This window comes from Homo sapiens, chromosome 9, assembly GCF_000001405.40.
Source record: "Homo sapiens chromosome 9, GRCh38.p14 Primary Assembly".
Taxonomy (NCBI): Eukaryota; Metazoa; Chordata; class Mammalia; order Primates; family Hominidae; genus Homo; species Homo sapiens.
The window spans coordinates 6,544,440-6,565,974 of record NC_000009.12 but is presented as its reverse complement, the minus strand read 5'-3'; the positions used below and the strand labels follow the sequence as shown (position 1 = coordinate 6,565,974).

At 44.9% G+C, this 21,535-nt stretch overlaps 1 protein-coding gene across 1 annotated transcript in view; it reads left to right on the top strand.

Annotated features, from left to right (window-relative positions):
- The window catches only part of GLDC (glycine decarboxylase), a 113,263-nt gene that overhangs the window by 79,755 nt on the left and 11,973 nt on the right, over positions 1-21,535 (top strand). Inside the window, exons 16-21 of the mRNA NM_000170.3 lie at positions 546-621; positions 7,291-7,416; positions 9,673-9,822; positions 11,194-11,306; positions 12,466-12,607; positions 15,061-15,172. Coding sequence (NP_000161.2) covers positions 546-621; positions 7,291-7,416; positions 9,673-9,822; positions 11,194-11,306; positions 12,466-12,607; positions 15,061-15,172 — 719 coding nt within the window. The remainder of the gene's footprint in view (positions 1-545; positions 622-7,290; positions 7,417-9,672; positions 9,823-11,193; positions 11,307-12,465; positions 12,608-15,060; positions 15,173-21,535) is intronic.

Below are 21,535 nucleotides of genomic sequence, written 5' to 3'. Positions count from 1 at the left end.
CCATTGCACCCGGCCTGTAGTTATATTTTTAAAAACAATACTTATCTTTGAAGGCTGCATATTGACATTTGAACTGATGATAGGATGTTTGAAGTTTGCTTCAAAATATATAGTTCAGCATGAAAGTGGTTAGTGAGAAATATAATAGGAAACAAGATTGACCGTAAACCAAATTGTTACAGCTGGCTGACACACACGTCGTAGTTCCTTTTGTTCTTCACTGTATTTTGGTATAGTTTTGAAATTTTTCATAATAACAAAAGGCTATTTTCAATGCGTGGTCCTGAGCAAGGATATAGAAAGCTCCATCTTTGGGTAGGAGTGGTTGAGCTGTAGTGCACAAACTGGATGCTGTTGCTTTGATTGTTTTGATTGTTCAAGACCTTTTGACTCCAGCAGAGCTCCTTGATGAGCTTCTCTCAGCGTCTGGACAGTGACCATGTGTCACGTGCTGGTGAACCCCTGGCCAGGGCCCAATAAATATTGAATGAGTAAATGAAAGCCAGAAGACCTAACCGTGATCCCTTTCTTCTTGTCTTTGCAAGCGGAGCCCAGGGAGAATATGCTGGACTGGCCACTATCCGAGCCTACTTAAACCAGAAAGGAGAGGGGCACAGAACGGTGAGTATGGCAGGAGGTGGCGCTTGCTCACCATGGGGCACAGAGGTCCTGGCTCTCAGGGTCCCTTCTGTGGGACACTCCCTCCAAGCCTTCTTGGAAGCAGATGAGGGAACATATAGTCAAGAAACAAATTTCTGTGAACTAGCCATTATGATCCTTGCTTCCAAGACATCCCACTTGACCATTTTGAGGAAAAACATTCAGAGATAAAAGACTTGCTCAAACCCAGAATGCAAACGTCAGCCAGTTGGCTGTGGAACTGCTCTCTAGGGAGCAGAGGGAGGAAGAGGGCAGGAATGTTGCCATTGCAAGCATCCTCTCCTTGGCTCAGCCCCGGCCCTGGGCCTGGATGAAGGGCAGAGACCATGCTTTAATTCTTCAGTAACCCCTGTTGTGCTGAAGCCCGGTTCTGGTCATAGTATGCTCAAACAATATTTGTTGAATAAATAAATTCTCCATTAGATGATTCTCAACTTCAAGCACCAAAAAAGGCATAAAGCAGAGTTCACGGTCCTGCTTCAATGTTTGCTTTGGATATGAGAACCTGGTCTCCAGGATCCCAATCGCCTCTTGGGGACCACTGTGGGGACCAGCAGGTACTAATGGACACCACTCGCTCCCCCCAGGGGCAGTGCCTGTAGCAGTGGCCTAACTCAGGCCTCAGCTTGTGCCAGAGGAGGCCTGTGTTCCTGGTTCCTTCATTTTGATGGCCAGTGCTATGCTAGAGTTTGTACTGAGCTGTGGGGCGGAAGTCCTTAATAGGAGCATCGCCTAGGAGCCGAGAGCAGGGCAAAAGCATCTGCTGATACTAGAGAGTTGCAGACAAAGGGGATAGGGTGGTGCTGGCTGGCTAAGTAAGTAGGGTGGAGTGGTAGTGGCCCGATCTTAGTCCATTTCTGGTTTTATTACCACTGGAAGGTTACTTATGGCTAGTTGCCTGGAATTTGCAATAAAGAATGCTGAAAGTGTTTCACTTCCCTTTCATAACAGGGGAAACGAAGGAACATTTTTTTCCCTCCTTCCCTTGCATAGTTCATCCTGATTCCACAGGTGTGTCTTTCCAGGCTTTCATCTTGGTTGGGGAATAGAATTTTTTTTTTTTTTTTGAGATGGAGTCTCGCCCTGTTCCCCAGGCTGGAGTGCAATGGCCCAATCTCGGCTCATTGCAACCTCTGCCTCCTGGGTTCAAGCGATTCTTGTGCCTCAGCCTCCTGAGTAGCTGGGATTACAGGCATGCGCCACCACGCCCGGCTAATTTTTGTATTTTTAGTAGAAACAGAGTTTCACCATGTTGATCAGGCTAGTCTCGAACTCCTGACCTCAGGTGATCCACCCGCCCCTGGACCTCTCAAAGTGCTGGGATTATAGGTGTGAGCCACTGCGCCTGGCCCTTTTTTTTTTCTCTTCATAGCTCACTGCAGCCTTGAACTCCTGGGCTCAAGGAAGCCTCCCAAAGTGCTAGGGAGACCAGGATTACAGGCATGACCCTCTGCACCTGGCCCTAGAATTCATGTCTAAAGATCTTTGAAAAACAGGCCATTCGTGAATTGAATAAATGATTAAACCCTGGTCAAGGACTGCTTGCCAGTCCAGAGAGAAGTGAAGTGGTCAACCAGACAGACACAGACCCTGAAATTCCCCCACAGTTTGTTCATTCGTGGTTCTGAATTCTCAGCTTTCTAAGGAATGATTAGTTTAGAACTATAATTGCTCTTGGGACCTGAGAGTCTCGGCACTTTCACAGAATCAGAAAGGAAACTTTGGAGCTCCAGGTGTCCAGCCAGTAAAACAATGCCAGATTCTCTCCTGTCTGTTTTTCCCTCATGGCTTCCATGTTCTGAGGTCGTCTCTGGAGTTCCTCTTCATTAGTATCTTTCACCACGAGGTGCCCAGGAGCCTGGGGATGCTGGAAAGGGGCAGCCTGTCCTGTGTGACATCTCCACCCGACTCCTCCACTGCTTGGCGGAGAGGCCGCAGAAAGCAGTGTTTGCAGAAAGCAGGTGACTAGCTAATGGCAAAGGGCCAGCTAAAATCCAGATTCTTTCCACGCAGTAATGCTTCCCACCCCTCGCCATTTCCCAAATTTCCCAATCTGACACCAGGAAGTAGCTGTGAATGTCCAGCAGCTGGGGACCAAACTGGAAAGGCCAAGGAGAAAGAATGAAAGGCCTTTGGGTTTGGCCTGGGCGGGGTTCTTCCGTGACTTGTGGATTCTTTCTGGTTCCTGTTCCCTCTCTTTGTGTTTTCCTGTCCTCCTTCCCTTCTCCACCCACTGTGTGTGATGTTTCTCTTGGCCCCATTGCCCATCCTGCCATCACTGAAGTGTCATGAGAGGCCATTTCACTCTGCAGGAGGGAGAGGGGCTGGGTGCTGTGCTTCAGGGAGAGGGGGAAAGGGAGAGGCAGGGAAGCCCTCCAGCCACTGAGCTGGTAGAAATACAAAGCTCATTAGCCTGGAAATGTTGGCATCCTTCTGGATCAGAAATTTTAATTAGCTCGGGCATGGTGGCTCATGCCTGTAATCCCAGCACATTGGGAGGCTAAGGCAGGCAGATCACCTAAGGTCAGGAGTTCAAGACCAGCCTGGCCAACATAGCAAAACCCTGTCTCTACTAAAAACACAAAAATTAGCCAGGCATGGTGGTGCACGCCTGTGATCCCAGCTACTGAGGGAGGCTGAGGCAGGAGAATCACTTGAATCCAGGAGGCAGAGGTTGCAGTGAGCTGAGATCGCACCACTGCACTCCAGCCTGGGCAACAGAGCAAGACTCCCTCTCAAAAAAAAATTTTTTTTAATTAAAGCCAACTTTCTTAGTTAGAGAAGAAAATGATTTAGTATTCACTAATCAGGGAAGATTTTTTCACATCACTGATGTCTGAGGCAGCTGCTCCCACACAATAGATTCTAATGGAATCCAGCAAAATATATCATTCTTTTTTGAAAGGGAGTGTGGGGAAGTCATGTGCAGGGAGTGTGGGGAAATCATGTGCTACAGAAGTGCCTGGGCTCCTGATGGGTCTTTTCTTTCAAGCTGCTTTTTGAAGTTATTTTCACATTTTCTCTTAGGTTAAATTTCAGAGGTTCCTAAAATGGAATGCCTAACTTCTTGATTTATGAGTTTACTTTGGGAGAATACAAATTTATTTAACAAACACTTATATGGCAATTACCATGTACCAGGCATGGCCTTTAACACTTTATAATTAATATTTCAATTTGTCAGTCAAATCCTGACTTACTCAGCAGACCTCCAGATCTTACGAAAAAATAAAAACTCTAAAGAAAAACAATTAGGTTTGCTGTTCAGAGTCTGAGTTTCCTATACAAAGGGAAAACATTGACCAAAGGAAACAAATTATGTTATATGTAAATCAACAAAGAAAGCTCAAAACCTGTATGGGAATATTTTTTTCTTCCCAACTGCCTGAGACAAAGTAGTGGCCTTTGGTTGTTAGATTTTACCAGTGGTAAGACATTAGTTTCCCTTGCACAGGAGATCTCCTTAACCCTTCACTCATTCAACAAGTCTAAAGATGACCTCATGCTATTCTATGCCACGCGGCACCCTGGGGAGTTGAGAAAACATAGCACCCCCTAAATGGGCATCAATGCACCAAATGCTGGATTTGCTTTGGATAAACCAAAACTTCAAATCTGGGTCGTGTTACTTCCATATCCCTCACAACAATACAATTTTTTTCCCCCAAGAGAGACTCTCACTCTGTCACCCAGGCTGGAGTGCAATGGCATGATCTTGGCTTATGGCAACCTCCGCCTCCCGGGTTCAAGTGATTCTCATGCCTCAGCCTCCCAAGTAGCTGGGACTGTAGGCGTGCACCACCATGCCTGGCTATTTTTTGTATTTTTATTAGAGACAGGGTTTCACCATGTTGGCCAGGCTGGTCTTGAACTCCTGGCCTCAAGTGAACCGCCTGCCTCAGCCTCCCAAAGTGCTGGGATTACAGACATGAGCAACCTCGCCCGGCCAACACTACAATTTTAAACTGAGGAAAAACTTAACATTATAAAGAATAATTAAAGTCCTCTAAATCCTCATAGAAAACCAGAAATGTCTGACAGCAACATATAAATGAGTGCTTCACAAAGCCACTGTGACTTCTCTTTCCATCGCTCCTTGTACCAGGATGTGTATTAGTTTCCTATGGCTGCTATGATAAATTTCTACAGGCTTAGTGGCTTAAAACAACACACATTAATTTTCTTATAGTTGCAGAGGCCAGGTGTCAGAAATTGGTTTCACTGGGCTAAAGTCAAAGTGTTGGTAGAGCTGATTCCTTCTGGGGGAGACAGGGGAGAATCTGTTTCCTTACCTTTCCTGGCATCTGCAGGCCTCCTGCGTTCCTTGGCTCGAGCTTCCTGCTTCAGTCAGCACATCTCCCGCTCCCTCTGTGGTCCCATCTCCCTCTGCTTCCCTCTGATGAGGACACTTAAGAATATATTTAGGGCCCAGCCCAAAATCCAGAAGAATTTTTCCATCTCAAGATCTTTCTTTACCTTAATCCCATCTGCAAGTCCCCCTTGCCATATAAGGAAACACCCACAGGTTCCGAGGATTAGGACAGGGATGTCTTTGGGAGCCCGTTATTCAGTGTACCACAGGGTGGTTGACGTTTTTATATGTTTGTGTTTCAACAGAACTCACCTGGTATGAATTCTTCATTTTGGCTTTCTATGAATATTTTATATTTATTTTTAACATTCCCCTTTCTCCTTCTTATCAATATTCTGCCCTGAAGGGATCCTTTCATCCAACGATCCTTTTGTAGACTAGCAATACCTGTGAGAGAGGACAGTGCCTCCAGCTTGGGTCCTCAGAAATTAAAGAAAAAAATTAACTACAAAAGGGAAGCATTCAAACAAGAAAACGGATTTGAGGACAACGTGACATAACCAGTATGAGACCAACAGCCGTTCTAAAGGGACACAAACCTTCTGACAGTAGAAGAGTGCAAAGTAGTTCATGTTTGCCTTTGGCTAATGTTTTCTTTTTGTACACGTTTATTTTTCTTAAGTAGACTCCTTTGCTGTTTTTGAGGAAAGAGCTGTAAGCTAAGATTTAACTTCATAGCCTATTTTCAATAATGCCCATCCATCTCTCTGTGGGATAAAAAATAGGAGGATGATTTTCAGGGTAATCATGGCTTCTCCTTGATGCTTTTTGTTGGGGAAAACCTTCTGACTTACTTTCCCACTGGGACACATCGTCAGTTCTACAAGAGCCTGTGTCCACATGGTTGTTTGGAGGAAATGAAGGATGATTTGAGTCTGAGAATTTTAGCATTGCACCTACTGTCCAGCTTCCATAAAAATTCAGTGCAGCTGTAAGCTCTAACTTAGGCTCAGCTCTTGAGGCACTTTGCCTTGATTTCCTTAACCTGAAGCTACATCCCCTTGTCCATGTTTCTGCTGCATCTCTGGACTCTAGACAGTCATTCACAGGCCACCATTGTTAGTGAGTGAGTTGTGTGAACCCGGGGTAGGGGTTGGTCATTTTTATTTTTAGCTATTTTTTTTTTTTGAGACGGAGTCTTGCTCTGTTGCCCAGGCTGGAGTGCAATGGCGCGATCTCGGCTCGCTGCAACCTCCACCTCCCGGATTCAAGCGAATCTTCTGTCTCAGCCTCCTGAGTAGCTGGGACTACAGGCGTGCGTCACCACACCTGGCTAATTTTTGTATTTTTAATAGAGACAGCATTTCGCCATGTTGGCCAGGCTGGTCTTGAACTCCTGACCTCCACCTCCCGAAGTGTTGGGATTACAGGCGTGAGCCACCATGCCCGGCCAGGTTGATCTTTTTTTTTTTTTTTTTTTTTTTTTAAATACGGAGTTTCACTCTTGTCGCCCAGGCTGGAGTGCAATAGCGCAATCTCGGCTCACCGCAACCTACACCTCCTGGTTTAAACCAATTCTCCTGCCTCAGCCTCTCGAGTAACTGGGATTACAGACGCCTACCACCACACCCAGCTATTTTTTGTATTTTTACTAGAGACGGGGTTTCACCATGTTGGCCAGGCTGGTCTCTAACTCCTGACCTCAGGTGATCCACCCGCCTCGGCCTCCCAAAGTGCTGGGATTACACGCGTGAGCCACTGCACCTGGCCGGGTTGATCATTATTAATGCTTAGTTTATGGTTCTTATAGAAACTAATAATTTATTACAGAGTAAACATCCGATAAATATTGATATAATTGGTGTATTGGTACTGGGAGGCCTTGGAATTAACGTCTGTCATTATCATCTGTCCTGGATAAGCCAAGCAGAGCACTGAAGCTGTGATGTGGGCCCTGAGTCCTTGAGTTTAACTTCCAGTCTCATGTTCTTCTAAGGTGCTTTCTGTGTATCCTAACTGAGACAAGGTTAGAATAAGTCCAGGCCTATTTTTATTGTACTGGGATAAAGGAAGATTGTATTGATTTCCTGAGCATCTTCAGGGAACAATATTTAGGGATTCATATGGAAACTTTTTTTGGACATTGCTTTGCAATGACAAATAATTAAATTGTAGCAGATTTTAAAGCACTAGTGTTCAGCCTAAATAAAAACAGGTGGTGTCTAATTTGTGCTACAAGCATGTTGTAGTACTTTTCTGTCATTATTCATAGTCTGATGATGATTTTGCTCTTTCTTTGCTTCCTTTCTATTCTGTAGGTTTGCCTCATTCCGAAATCAGCACATGGGACCAACCCAGCAAGTGCCCACATGGCAGGCATGAAGATTCAGCCTGTGGAGGTGGATAAATATGGGAATATCGATGCAGTTCACCTCAAGGCCATGGTACTTGTCTTCTCCTTAGCAGATGGGAGAGGCCGGGATGGGGAGTGCTGGTGGGGATCAGGGACTTGATGGATTATGTAAATGTCTTCTCTTGCATTCTAATGAAAAGTCTGCAGTTCTTCCTTTGACCAGAGTCTACTCTACCCCTCCCATCACCAACAGGGAGAAATCCCCGTTTTCTAATTCCAGCTTGTGTAAAAAACTGAATGAATTATTCATGGTGGTAGTAAGAGTACTCCTTGCAGAACCTGCCTGCCTCTTTCTGCCCAATCTTCCCTCTCCTTCTCGCCTTCCCCACTTAATAATCAAAATGGCAGTCACACTTACACATCTTCGTGTCAGGAATTGTAACACAAATGTCAGCTTTGCAAATATCCATGACTGTGCCAGCCCCATCATGCTGAATTCCTGGCATCATGCAGCTTGGTTTCCACCAACCCCCACTCTCAACCTCCCAACCTCCAGGAAGAAGTTGCTTAGCAACCGTATCTGCTTCCCACCAGCGGACTGGCAGCTGCATCTTAAGCGGGAAGGAAACCAGTGGAATAGCAATGTGATTTTGATGGTGGTGTTATTAGGCATGGAGACTGTGAACTCTGTGCAGTTGCCTTCTAAAGGAAGCTGAAAATCCACAATGCTGCACCTCTCTTCGATCCACCTCTACCCTTCCATTGCTCCACAAAGCTTTTTTCCAACAAGTGTTCCAGGCCAGTAGTTGAAATTATTAAGTCCCTCCATTATAGTAATATAGGACATGACTTCCCTGGCCACCCCCATGTTCTCAAACATGCCTGCTCTGATATGCTGGCCAGGAAAACAAACAGGGATGTGACTTTTATATATGCTTGCCTTCTGTAAAAGGAAAGAATAAAGAAGACTTTTATTTACAGAAACACTTCTTGTGGGAATTCTTTTTTTTTTTTTTTTTCCAATTCCTGTTCTTTATCTTTTTGTTTGTTTGTTTTGAGACGGAGTCTCACCCTGTCGCCCAGGCTGGAGTGCAGTGGCACGATCTCGGCTCACTGCAACCTCCGCCTCCCGGGTTCAAGCAATTCTCCTGCCTCAGCCTCCTGATTAGCTGGGACTACAGGCGTGTGCCACCATGCCCAGCTACTTTTTGTATTTTTAGTAGAGACAGGGTTTCCCCGTATTGGCCAGGATAGTCTCGATCTCCTGACCTCATGATCCGCCCGCCTCAGCCTCCCAAAGTGCTGAGATTACAGGCGTGAGCTACCACGCCTGGCCTCTGTTCTTTATCTTTTTAAATGACAATAGTTGTACATAGTCATGGGGTATATAGTGATGTTTCTATACATCAAATGTATAGAGATCAGATCAGGGTAATCAGCATATCCATCATCTCAAGCATGTATCATTTCTTTGTGTTGAGGGAACGTTCAATATCCTCCTTCTAACTATTCAAAATTATATATTGTTAAATATAGTCATCCTGCAGTGGTATAGAACTCTACAACTTACTCCTCCTATCTAGCTGTAATTTGGGAATTTTAACTTCAACAGAAGGCAAGGGAAAGGAATGGATATGAGAAGATGAGCAGAGAGATTAACTATGAGAATGGACGCACCTAGAACCACAAACGTCTGAAATCGTTATTGAGATGACTTGAACCAAGGGAAAACCACCTTAGAGAGTTGGGCCCAAAATATCCAAAAATCTTGTGAATAGTCCTTTTGGTCTGGACCATAGAGACCTAGCCTGAAAGGATCTTATTATTTCTTTTTTTCTTTTTTCTTTTTTTTTTTTGACGTGGAGTCTCTCTCTGTTGTCCAAGCTGGAGTGCAGTGGTGTGATCTTGGCTCACTACAACCTCCACCTCACCGGTTCAAGCAATTGTCCCTGCCTCAGCCTCCTAAGTAGCTGGGATTACAGGCACCTGCCACCATGCTCGGCTAATCTTTGTATTTTTAGTAGAGACGGGGTTTCACCATGTTGGCCAGGCTGGTCTCGAATTCTTGACCTTAGGTGATCTGCCCGCCTCGGCCTCCCAGAGTGCCGGGATTACGGGCATGAGCCACCACACCCAGCCAGGATCTTATTATTTCTTTGGAATGATTTGTGAAGGGAGTAATGGCTGTGGTTTTTTTTTATTGCTGTCATTGTACTTTGAGACAGTTCCAGGAAAGTAAAGACTGAGACTTCATCTTTCTTCATCCTTTAAAATGAAAGGCGAGGATTTGGCCAAGAAAGAAACATATCCTCCCTCCATGTCCTTCTCTACCCCTTTTCTTTCACAGGTGGATAAGCACAAGGAGAACCTAGCAGCTATCATGATTACATACCCATCCACCAATGGGGTGTTTGAAGAGAACATCAGTGACGTGTGTGACCTCATCCATCAACATGGAGGACAGGTCTACCTAGACGGGGCAAATATGAATGCTCAGGTGGGAACTGAAGAGGCCCGCCCTTAGTTCCCACTGAGAAAATGGATATGTGGAAAAAAAAAAAAATTCTGACTTCTTGAGAGGCTTCCTGCCTGAGGGAACTCAGACCCACGACCTGACCACTGGTGGTTGTTGATCTCTCATGGCCTTGGAAAGCCACTTATCCTGGCATCAGCTTTATCAGCTGTGAAATGGGGGCTCAAAGGGCCCAATCCTGATTACTTGGGGGACAGAGGATCTATGTACTGTGAACCTCTGAAGAAATGCTGTTGGGAGCCCCTGCAGGAGAGGAGTGACACAATCTTTTTGAGACTCTTATTGGTGTTTGCTTTTTTCCTTTTTCTTTCTTTCTTTCTTTTTTTAGATGGAGTCTCACTCTGTCGCCAAGGCTGGAGTGCAGTGGTGCGATGTCTGCTCACTGCAACCTCCACCTCCTGGGTTCAAGCAGTTCTGCTGCCTCAGCCTCCCGAGTAGCTGGGACTACAGGTGCATGCTGCCACACCCAGCTAATTTTTTTAAATTTTTTTATTTTTATTTTTGTATTTTAGTAGAGATGGGGTTTCACTGTGTTGCCCAGGCTGGTCTTGAACTCCTGAGCTCAGGCAATCCACCTGCCTCAGCTTCCCAAAGTGCTAGGATTACAGGTGTGATCCACCACGCCCGACCTCTTTTTTTTTTCCTACCATTTTAGAGCCTTTCTTTGGTTCTCATTCATTTCACAAGTGTAATCCAGAGATTGTCTATTGGTTCTGTAGCATAAATGAATTCTGTACCTTTGGTCACCATCAAAATTAGTCCTAACACCCAAGTGGTGGGAAGGCTAGTGGGATGGCATGCCTGGTATCTGGGTCATCTCGGGAAGACTGCGAGCCTTGCCTTCCCTCTCTCAGTTCAGCCTCCTCCCTGGTGCCCCCGCAGCCCCTTCCATCACTGTGCCCAACGGGGCCGTTCGGTAACGTGCATCATACTAAAGCCGACCACGCAGGGGAAGGTAGCGCTGCTCAGGGAAGAGTTGCCTATTTCAACAACATGGAGGTTCTGCCCTTTCTTGTGTTAGAGACACTTCTCTCCCTTTGTGGTGTGTGGATAATTAGGAAGAGACTGTGTATTCAAATCCATATTTTTAAATCTAAATTGGACTAAATGGTCAGTTGCTATTTCCATAGCAACCACAAGCACTCTGCCTATCGGATGCCAGTTTGTGACTACGGAACTGGGCCAGTATAGAGGACATTTCTGTGAACACCATGGATGTGGCTCTGCCTGCTTTTCCTCTGAGGGGAGAAGGCAGCACCGGCCAGCCATGGCCTTCACACTGGAGGGTGCTTCCAAGCTCTTGACTTTTGCTTTTGGCCCTTGCCTTTGTGGTAGGTGGGAATCTGTCGCCCTGGAGACTTCGGGTCTGATGTCTCGCACCTAAATCTTCACAAGACCTTCTGCATTCCCCACGGAGGAGGTGGTCCTGGCATGGGGCCCATCGGAGTGTAAGTTCTGGGCTGCTGGTTTCAGGATGGCTTTGGAGACAGAATGAAGGAGTGGCCCTAAATAGACTACTCATCCCATCAAAGTCTTCATGTGTTGAGGATACCCTCATCGGTGTAGTGCACTTGTAGGGGCTGGGGGAGGAGCAGCAAAATGGGTGCTTTTAGGGGATTTCCAAAGAAAAGCGTAATTAGATTTTACTAACCATAGCATCTGGCCTCACTGAGCTTCCAGTTGCACATAGACAGCAGGTTTATTAACAGAATAATGAATAGGGAACTTCACCTGAGCATACGTATTGTAACTGGAATATTGGCACTAGAAAGTGCCTTTCGGACTTTTGGATTTCCTAGCATTTTTTTTTTCTTTTTTAAAATCAGCTAATGGTTCCATTGAAAGTGAATTAGATGTAAGGTGTTGAGATAAGTAACACATAAGTAAGGAAGAAACAAACCTGGTTACTAGAAATAATTGGATGAAGCCAGAGTAGGACTGAAGGAATATTTCTTAGCTGTGGATAACTTTTTACACTGAAATCAAATCATCTTGGGAAAATGATGATGAGAGCAGCTGTTTTCCTGAGCTGCTTCAGTCTCCCAAAAATATGCTAAAGAAGTCAGTTTTCAGAGTTGCTGGAAGCTTGGCCTTCTTACTTTTTTCTTCTTTCTTGTTTTTTTTTTCTTGGACTACGGTTAAAGTGAGATTCATTTTGATGATGATTATTTCTAGTAAATGTGTGAGCTCCAGTGCTTCAGCTGTCAGGGAGGTGGGGAGAATGATGTTCATGTCAGCCCATGGGGCATCTTCTCATCAGCCCCTCCTATGTCCATCTTGGGAAAGTGTATAGGGGTGAGGGAATGGGGCTGGGAGTGGGAGGGAGGGACATGGAACTCCACTGTTTTATGGCTGCCTGCCTCTATCAAGCCCTCCACCACATTTCTTGGGTGAGCCCTGGGACACTGATGGCTGGTGGACCTCCACCAGAGGAGGAAGGAAGGAAGGATCGCTTCCTGAACATCTGCCTCCCAGCAGGTGGAGAGTCCCTTCCACTGTCAGAGCTCCTCTGCTAAGAACAAGGCTTTCTGGGAGGGCCCAGAACCTTCCCATTAGATTAAACTGAATCGTTTACATTTTCTGAATTTGCACTTAAAAAAAATACAGGAAGAAACATCTCGCCCCGTTTTTGCCCAATCATCCCGTCATTTCACTAAAGCGGAATGAGGATGCCTGTCCTGTGGGAACCGTCAGTGCGGCCCCATGGGGCTCCAGTTCCATCTTGCCCATTTCCTGGGCTTATATCAAGGTGAGGCCTGGGAGTATGTGCAGGTGTGCAGGTGGGTGGGGGCGTCAGGCATGCATGGGGACCGGATACTGCAGACTTCTTGGCTTAAAAACAAATAAATTCATGATCTGAGATGTGGTTCAAAGAATATTGCTGATGGCCTGGGTGGAAGAAACCTTCCTGAAGAGATGAGCTAAAAATCATTTCATCTCTCCTTCATTACACTACTTCTTTTGGGTTCTCAGAGTGGGTTTAACATCAGAGAAACTGAAACATCAGATATATTTTTCCAGACACAGCTAAGTTCCATGAGTCATATGGATGTTCTGGCCGCATCCTTTGGTTTCCTGCAGGATTTATATAGCCCCTTCCGAGTGAAAAGCAGTGCATGTACTAATTATTCCACTTTGCTGAGATCCTGCTATATATCTCACTTTGCTATATATTTCTTGGGGGGGGCCAGAGGAGAAGATGAAAAATAGCAGAAATTTGCTTCTCTGGTTTTTCCCCAGAGCTCTTTGGCCTTTAGGGTTTGTGGTGCTGTGCTCTCTGCGTAATTAGTCAGAGTACAGGCTTCCTTCCTTTGTCTTATTCCAAATAACACCAGGGCCAGAGTTGATTTTCTACAGTTCTTGTTCACACTGCCCTGCCCACCTCCTGGACTGACAAGACTGTGAATAAGAACACTTGTTTGGCTGCTCATTAGAGCAGTCTCCCCAAAGCAGTGCCCCTCTTTAAAGGAAGGCGGGCTCCCACTGAAACAAAACCCCCAAAACGCAGCTATGCCAATCATTCCAGAGGACTCTGTGGAGCTGACTGTTTATTTCTGGAACAGCATGGCATTTATGATTCTTCACGAAAAGTTTCTTGGAAGCCGGAACAATTCTGTACCTCAGACACTAACACTTGCTTTTAAAAATGATACTCAAGTTGTTTTGCAAACAACACAAGCAATCAGAATAAAGGTCTGCTTCTTTGTAAGCAGAATCAAATTCCACTTCCCTTTTGATCTCTGGGTTCTGTAAATCTGGGTTATTTGTATGAACATATTTGGGTTGGAGATGACTTCCCACATATAGGAAATAAATGCCCCAAGGTTGGTTTGGCTACATGCCTGGAACAACAGCTGGTGCCTCAGTTTAAAAACTAAATAAATAAAGTAGGGTTTAAGCTGCCCCCTCTGGCCTTGGGCCTTCTCTTATTTCAGGCTGTTATTACTTATCCCCTGGACTCTAGCTTTAGCTGCTTCTCTCCCTGCTGCAATTCCACAGGCGCACCTACAGGACTGCTAGACTCACCCTAGGCCCCCACGTATCTCTCGTGGCTTCCTGTTGCTTTACCTGGTTCTCACTAGCCTGCACGAAATCCTTAGGGGATTCTTTCAGAATGCACATGCCTAGGCCCCATTCCAAGGAGAACCAAACTGAGCACATGTAGGGTTGGACTTAAGCCGTCTGCATTTTTAAAAAATCCCCCCATGAGACATAGGTTGAGAGCCAGTGGTTGGCTGGACAAAGTCGAAGTCCTTCCTAGAGAAGTTTTGGGCTTAAAAATGGAGTCACAACTCACCTTGCCCTACATCCACTCCCAGATGACAGTCATGTGCCCTCCCCTTCCACGCCTTCATTTCTGCCATTCTTCTCACCTGGTATACCTTCTCCTTTCTCTTTCCCTATCCGAATTCTACTTATTTCTAAGTTTCTAGCCAAGTTCTGGCTCTTAATCTAGGAACCCTTCTTTGACCAGCCTGGAGCAATGTGGCCCCTTTTTACTTTGGACCCCCTTAATGATACCAAAGTACTACTGTTGTTTTATTTGGTGCTCTCTCATTCTCTTTACATTAGTTATGTATTTAATATATATGCCAACTCCATCACATGTGAGGTACTCTGGGAAGAAAGTAGGCCATAAGAATTGGTGCAGTCTTGATTTGAAGCTCTTTGCAGTGATGATGTGTATCCCTTATGATCACAGGGACTCTTAACTACCAGGACAAGATTGAGCAGTTTTTAAACATAAGCAGCCTCTACTAGGGACAATGGGAAAATAAACCAGACAAAATTGCTTCCGTGGAGATATTGGCCCAGATCCCATCGGATTCCTGGCAATTATCAAGACCTCTCAAATTCATAGTAAACAAACAAAAAAATCACAAAACACATGTAATTTAAGAACAATTCTTTTCTCTCTTTAGATAACACAGTAGTCAGTAGTCAGCTTGCCCTGTTGTAGGCTTTGCTACTACAATAAAGAACGTAAAACTACTATTAAAAGAAGAAAACAAAAATGTATTACAGGCTTACAGGGATCTGACAGATATCCTTGTTGGAATTTTCCACTCATCTTTACTCCAGAGTCATGGTGGGCTGCCTTCCTTTGTGGGTGGAGTTTATCTGGGGGTGTCTTTTGGTTGGTTTCTTCACATTCGTGTTTGCCTGTTCAATGGCTAATGGCTCTTTTTCCCTTTGTTGCAGATGATGGGAGGCAAGGGTCTTAAACAAGCCACGGAAACTGCGATATTAAATGCCAACTACATGGCCAAGCGATTAGAAACACACTACAGAATTCTTTTCAGGGGTGCAAGAGGCAAGTATCAACTTTAATCTATCATTACTTTGGTTTTTTTCTTGGCCAAACTAAGTTTGACCTAGATGCGCTTTTCTGACATGGGCAAGAGACTTCTATTTCTTAGCACATATCAGAAAATAGTGTAGAGTTCTTGGAAATAACTCGGGTTTATTTTATTTTATCTTGTTATTTTTGAGATAGAGTCTTGCTCTGTCACCCAGGCTGGAGTCCAGTGGCAGGATCTTGTCTCACTGCAATTTCTGCCTCCCGGGTTCAAGCGATTCTTTTGCCTCAGCCTCCCGAGTAGCTGGGACTACACGTGTGCACCACCATGCCCGGCTAATTTTTATATTTTTAGTAGAGACAGGGTTTCACCATATTGGCCAGGCTGGTCTCGAACTCCTGACCTCAGGTGATCCACCTGTCTCAGCCTCCCAAAGTGCTGGGATTACAGGCATGAGCCACCACGCCCAGCCATAACACCACTTTAGTTAACTGTTTAGGGGCATTACTATATGCAGGTTTCTCCTAGGCTCCTAGTCTACACAGCAGCCCAGGTCAATAAAGATTCCACAACACTGAAATGTGTACATAAATACCATAAGCTAATTATTTACAAAGTGCTATGATATGCCTTGAAAGAGTAGAGTAACTCAGACTGGGTAGAGGCAGGATAGAATGGTTGACAGCGCCTTCTTGCTGGAGCCATTTGAGATGGGCCTGGAAGCCAGCGTAGCCGATGAGAGCCTGAGTAAGCAGAGACACAGGAGCAAACCAGAGAAAAGAAAGCTCTCTGGTCTGGAGTGAAGGATGGGATAGGGGAGAGGGAGCAAATGACAATGAGGCTGGAAATGTAGCGTGGGGCCTTGAAGGCCTTGGAAGGCTCTGGACTTCACCCTTGAGCTGGACAATAGCCATTAAAGGTTTTTGAGCAGGGGAGGGTAGGGATTCATGAAGAGACCGTTACAATCATTAAGACGGCGGCAAGGGGGAAACATGCCTTAGAGGTAGCAAGGGGCTGGGGTGGTGGCTCACACCTGCAATCCTGTAATCACACCTGTGATTGAAGGTTAGCTAGCCTCTAGGGCTTACAGTAGAGGGAATAATAGGCAGGGGAACAAAGTCACCCTGGAAGTGATGGGAGGGAACTAAAAACCAGGCATCCTTTTACACATTGGGCTGTGGGCTCAGGACCTAATAGCTGAGTCTTGGAAGTGGTGAGGCCCCAGGAAAGAATATTGAAGGTGAGAAGCCAGAACAAAACGCCTCAAGTAGATGGCTACATTAAGAGGGAGGGAGAAGTTGGGTGCCTGGTGAGGGGCACTCCACACCTGAGGCAGCTTTAGAACCCTGGCAGTGCTTGGCACAGTGCCTCTCCCTCAACACCCCTGCCTGGCCCTCCTGCTGCCGTGTGGCTCCACCTCCTCCCTGCAGCCTCCACTCCCTCCTCTTGCCCACCCCCGACCCCACCCCGGAGCAGCTGCTCTCCCACTTGGTATTGTCTGGCTCTGTCCATCTGACTCCAGGGTCCAGGAGAGAGTGGAGGCTGCGCCTGCTTTGTTTCTCTGGCAGTCAACAGACAAATGCACGTGATGACGCATAATAAGGAGAGACACTGTAAAGAGCGGGTGGCTGATTTAATCTTACTTAAGTTTATTTAGATTTTTTCTGCTTTTACTGAGGTATGATTGACATCTGATTTTAAATTATGAGTCTTAAAAGGAACCTTTGTCTATAACAATTAGGAAGCCTTTGGTAGCCTTTGAAAGTAGTTTGGGCACAATGGTGAGGCAGACGCTGGGTGTTTAAAATGGGCTGAGATGTGGATGGAGGTCGGGAAGGAGAGGGGAAAAGGATTCCATGTTTGCAGGTAGTGAAGGAGGAGGGGGCTGCTTCAGTAGGATGTAGTTATATTTTCTTTTTAACTATGAAAACAACATGATTTTAAGCTGTGAGAAGGGAGAGCAAAGATACCTTTGAGAGAAAAACAGATGGGGGAACAAAGTCACCCTGGAAGGGAAAGGCTGGAACTGAGAACCAGGTACAAGTCCTTGCTATGGGCCCAGAGTAAGAGCAGGACAGAGACCAGGACCTGGAGCTTAGATCAGAGAGACAGACGTCAGGAACCAGCCCACCCGCCTGCACCTGGGCAACAGCAACAAAGCGCTTATGGGATCTTGGTTTCTCTGGTCCAGGTGGAATGTAGCTCTATAGCTGTGATCTTTAATTTAATGGCTGGTCTTACCTTATAAATCAGTATCCAAAGGGGTGGTTCCACAGTTTGAAAAAGAATAGGACCAAATAACCAGAAGTGCTGGTTAAAATGCTCCCCAGAGAGCAGAAAACACAGTTGTGGGCAACATGTCTCTAAGCAGCACAATAAAATGCTTCTGTGAAGTGGGTACTAAAGAAGTGACAAGAGCTTCTGATTAATTCAAATCTAGCTTAGCTCCTGCTCTGTGAAATGTATCCTGCTTGTGTATTGGCTTTAAGGAATAGCTTCAATATTTATTTCATCAGATTACATAAATAATGTATATATGCTCAACACGGACATTTTGGAAAATAATAAAGCATGACAAAGAAAATGTAAATGGTCCATGGTTCCATCAATCAGTTATAGCCATTACTAATATTTTCTGTATTTCTTCTCCTCTTTGTTTGTACAATTGATCATACTACAGATAGTTTTATTAGTTTGTTGTCCAGGCTGAAGTGCAGTGGTGCCATGGCAGCTCATTGCAATCTTCAGCTCCTGGGCTCAAGTCATCCTCCTAACTCATCCTCCCAAGTAGCTGGGAACACAGGCATACACCCGCCACACCTGGCTAATTTATTTATATATATATTTTTTGTAGAGACGGGGTCTTGCTCTGTTGCCCAGGTTGGTCTTGAACTCCTCTGCTCTAGTGATCCTCCCACCTCGGCCTCCCAAAATGCTGGGGTTATGGGTGTGAGCCACTGCACCTGGCCTACAAATACAGTTTTTAGCCTATTTTTTAAATGTATATTATGAGCATTTTCCCCTGTCACTAAATATTCTTTGAAAGTGGCACTGTCAATTCCATTGTGTAGATGTGCCATGATTTAACCAATTGTATAGTTTTTCTTCCCTTTGTTTGCATTTATTACAATGTGGCCGTGAGTATCCTTTGCTTGAAATTTTAAAGAATTTTGCCTGATAATTTCCTTAGGAGAGAGTCATAGAAAAAATTATTATCTCAGAGGATATAAATGCACTGAAGCTTTTGACATGTATGGCTTCAATTTTTTTCCCAGAGACTTTGTGCCAATTTATCTCACAGTGATAACATATGAGAGTGGCCATCACACAGGGGCCTAGTGAGGACTGAGAACTAGACAGAAGAACAAGTAAACAATATATCATGGCCAATTTGATAGGTGAAAATGACCTTATTGTTTTAGTATATGTAGCCAATGCGCTCAATGTTTCCCTAGTTCTTAGTGCCAGCCTTGTCCATCCAGGGTAACTGTGTTCCCCCATCTGTTCTGTCTACTTCCTTCTCCTTCACAGCTGACTCTCTGATTTCACAGCTTAAAATCATGTTGTTTCCATATCTTAAAAAGACATATAACTGCATCCTATTGGTTTTTTCCCTAATTGCTTATTTGTTCATATTTTAAACTTCCTCACGTTTAATTTTATTTAGTAGCAGCCGGGTGTGTTGGTTCACACCTGTAATCCAAGCACTTTGGAAGGCTGAGGCGGGTTGTCTAAAAGTATGACACTTACATTTAATATATAGTACCTAATAATAATGATAAAGACTATGCTGCTGGTTTATGTATTCACTACATAATGCTTCTTATCATTATTATTATTATTATTATTATTTTTGAGACAGAGTCTCGCTTGGTCACCCAGGTGGGAGTGCAGTGGTGTGATGTTGGCTCACTGCAACCTCCGCCTCCCAGGTTCAAGCGATTCTCCTGCCTCAGCTTCCCCAGTAGCTGGGACTACAGGTGTTCATCACCACGCTTGGCTGATTTTTGTATTTTTAGTAGAGACAGGGTTTCATCCTGTTGCCCGGGCTGGTCTCAAACTCCTGACCTCAGGTGATCCTCCCACCTTGGCCTCCCCAAATGCTGGGATTACAGGCGTGAGCCACTGCGTCTGGCCCCCATCATTATTTTAGAGTGTATTCCTTCTACTGTAAAAAAAAAATGTTAACTGTAAAACAGCTTCAGGGCGGTCCTTCAGGAGGTATTCCAGAAGAAGGCATTGTCATCACAGGAGATAGCAGCTCCGTGTGTGTTACTGTCCCTGAACACCTTCCAGAGGACAAGATGTCGGAGGTGGGGCTAGGTGCTGTGGCTCATGCCTGCAATCCCAGCAGTTTGGGAGGCCAAGCCGGGAGGGTTGCTTGAGCCCAGGAGTCTGAGACCAGCCTGGGAAATATCATGAGACCTGTCTCTTCCAAAAAAAAAAAAAAAGAAAAAATTAACCACCATGGTGGTGCACACCTGTAGTCCCAGCTACTTGGAAGGTTGAGGCAGGAGGATTGCTTGAGCCTGGGAAGTTGAGGCTGCAGTGAGTTGTAATGGTGCCACTGCACTCCAGCCTGGGTGACAGAGTGAGACACTGTCTCAAAAAAAAAAGATGAGGAGGTGGAAGACAATGATATTGAGCATCCTGAATCTGTAGGCCTAGACAAAGGTGTGTGTTTGTGTCTTAGTTTTTAACAAAAAAGTTTAAAAAGTAAAAAGAAATTAAATATAGAAGAAAGCATATAGAATAAGGACATTGAAAAAGAAAATATTTTTGTACAGCTGTACAATGTATTTGTGTTTAAAGTGTTATTACAAAAGAGTCAGAAAGGTTTAAAAAATTTAGTTTATAAAGTAAAAAAGTTACAGTACGCTGGGCATGGTGGCTCACGCCTATAATCCCAGCACTTTGGAAGGCTGAGGCGGGCAGATCACTTGAACTCAGGAGTTCGAGACCAGCCAGGCCAACATGGTGAAACCCCGTCTCTACTAAAAATACAAAAATTAGCCAGGCATGGTGGTGGACATCTGTAATCCCAGCTACTCGGGAGGCTGAGGCATAATAATCGCTTGAACCCAGGAATAGGAGGCTGCAGTGAGCCGAGATTGCGCCACTGCACTCCAGCCTGGGCAACAGATTGAGACTCTGTCTCAAAAATAAAAAAAGTTACAGTAAGCTAAGGTTAATTTATTATTGAAGAAAAAAGTTTTTTTAAATAAATTAATATAGCCTAAGTGTACAGCGTTCACAAAGTCTATGGTAGTATACAGGAATGTCCTAGACCTTCCCGTTCACTCACCACTCACTCACTGACTCATCCAGAGCAACTTCAGCCCTGCAAGCTCCATTCATGGTAAGTGCCCTACACAGATGTACCATTTTTTATGTTTTATGTCGTATTTTTGCTCTGTCTTTTCTATGTTGAGATATGTTAAGATACACAGATTCGGACCATTGTGTTACAATTGCCTACAGTATTCAGTACAGTAGGAGCAAGAGGCTGTACCATGTAGCCTAGGTATATATAGTAGACTTTACCAACTAGTTTATGTAAGTACACCATGCTGTTTGCACAATGACAAAGTCATCTCACAATGCACTTCTCAGAACGTATTCCCTTCATTAAGTGATGCATGACTGTATTCTGCTAGAATGAGGAAAGAAAGGAATTACCTCAGGTAAGATGATACTTTTTTTTTTTTCTTTTTTTTGAGACAGAGTTTCGCTCTTGTTACCCAGACTGGATTGCAATGGCGCAATCTCAGCTCACCTCAACCTCTGCCTCCCGGGTTCAAGCGATTCTCCCACCTCAGCCTCCTGAGTAGCTGGGATTACAGGCATGCACCACCATGCCTGGCTAACTTTGTATTTTTAGTAGAGACAGTGTTTCTCCTTGTTGGTCAGGCTGGTCTCAAACTACCGACCTCAGGTGATCCACCCACCTTGGCCTCCCAAAGTGCTGGGATTACAGGTGTGAGCCATTGCCCCGGCAAGTTGATACATTTTAAAGGAAGAATTGCAAAAATCCACAGCTGTCTACTTTTATAGGAGGCAAAGGTTTGATCTGAATGGAGTTCCCATTAGTAGGAGGAGATGACTTTGTTAGTATCCCAACGTTTTCTTTATGTTTTAATTTCTTATATGCCTATCCATTTTTTTTTTTTTTTTTTTTGAGACAGAGTCTTGCTCTGTCACCCAGGCTAGAGTCCAGTGGTGCAATCTCGGCTCACTGCAACCCCCGCCTCCCCGGCTCAAGCAATTCTCCTGCCTCAGCCTCCCACTATGATTACAGGTGCCCGCCACTGCACTCGGCTGATTTTTGTATTTTCAGTATAGACGAGGTTTCGCCATGTTGGCTAGGCTTATCTTGA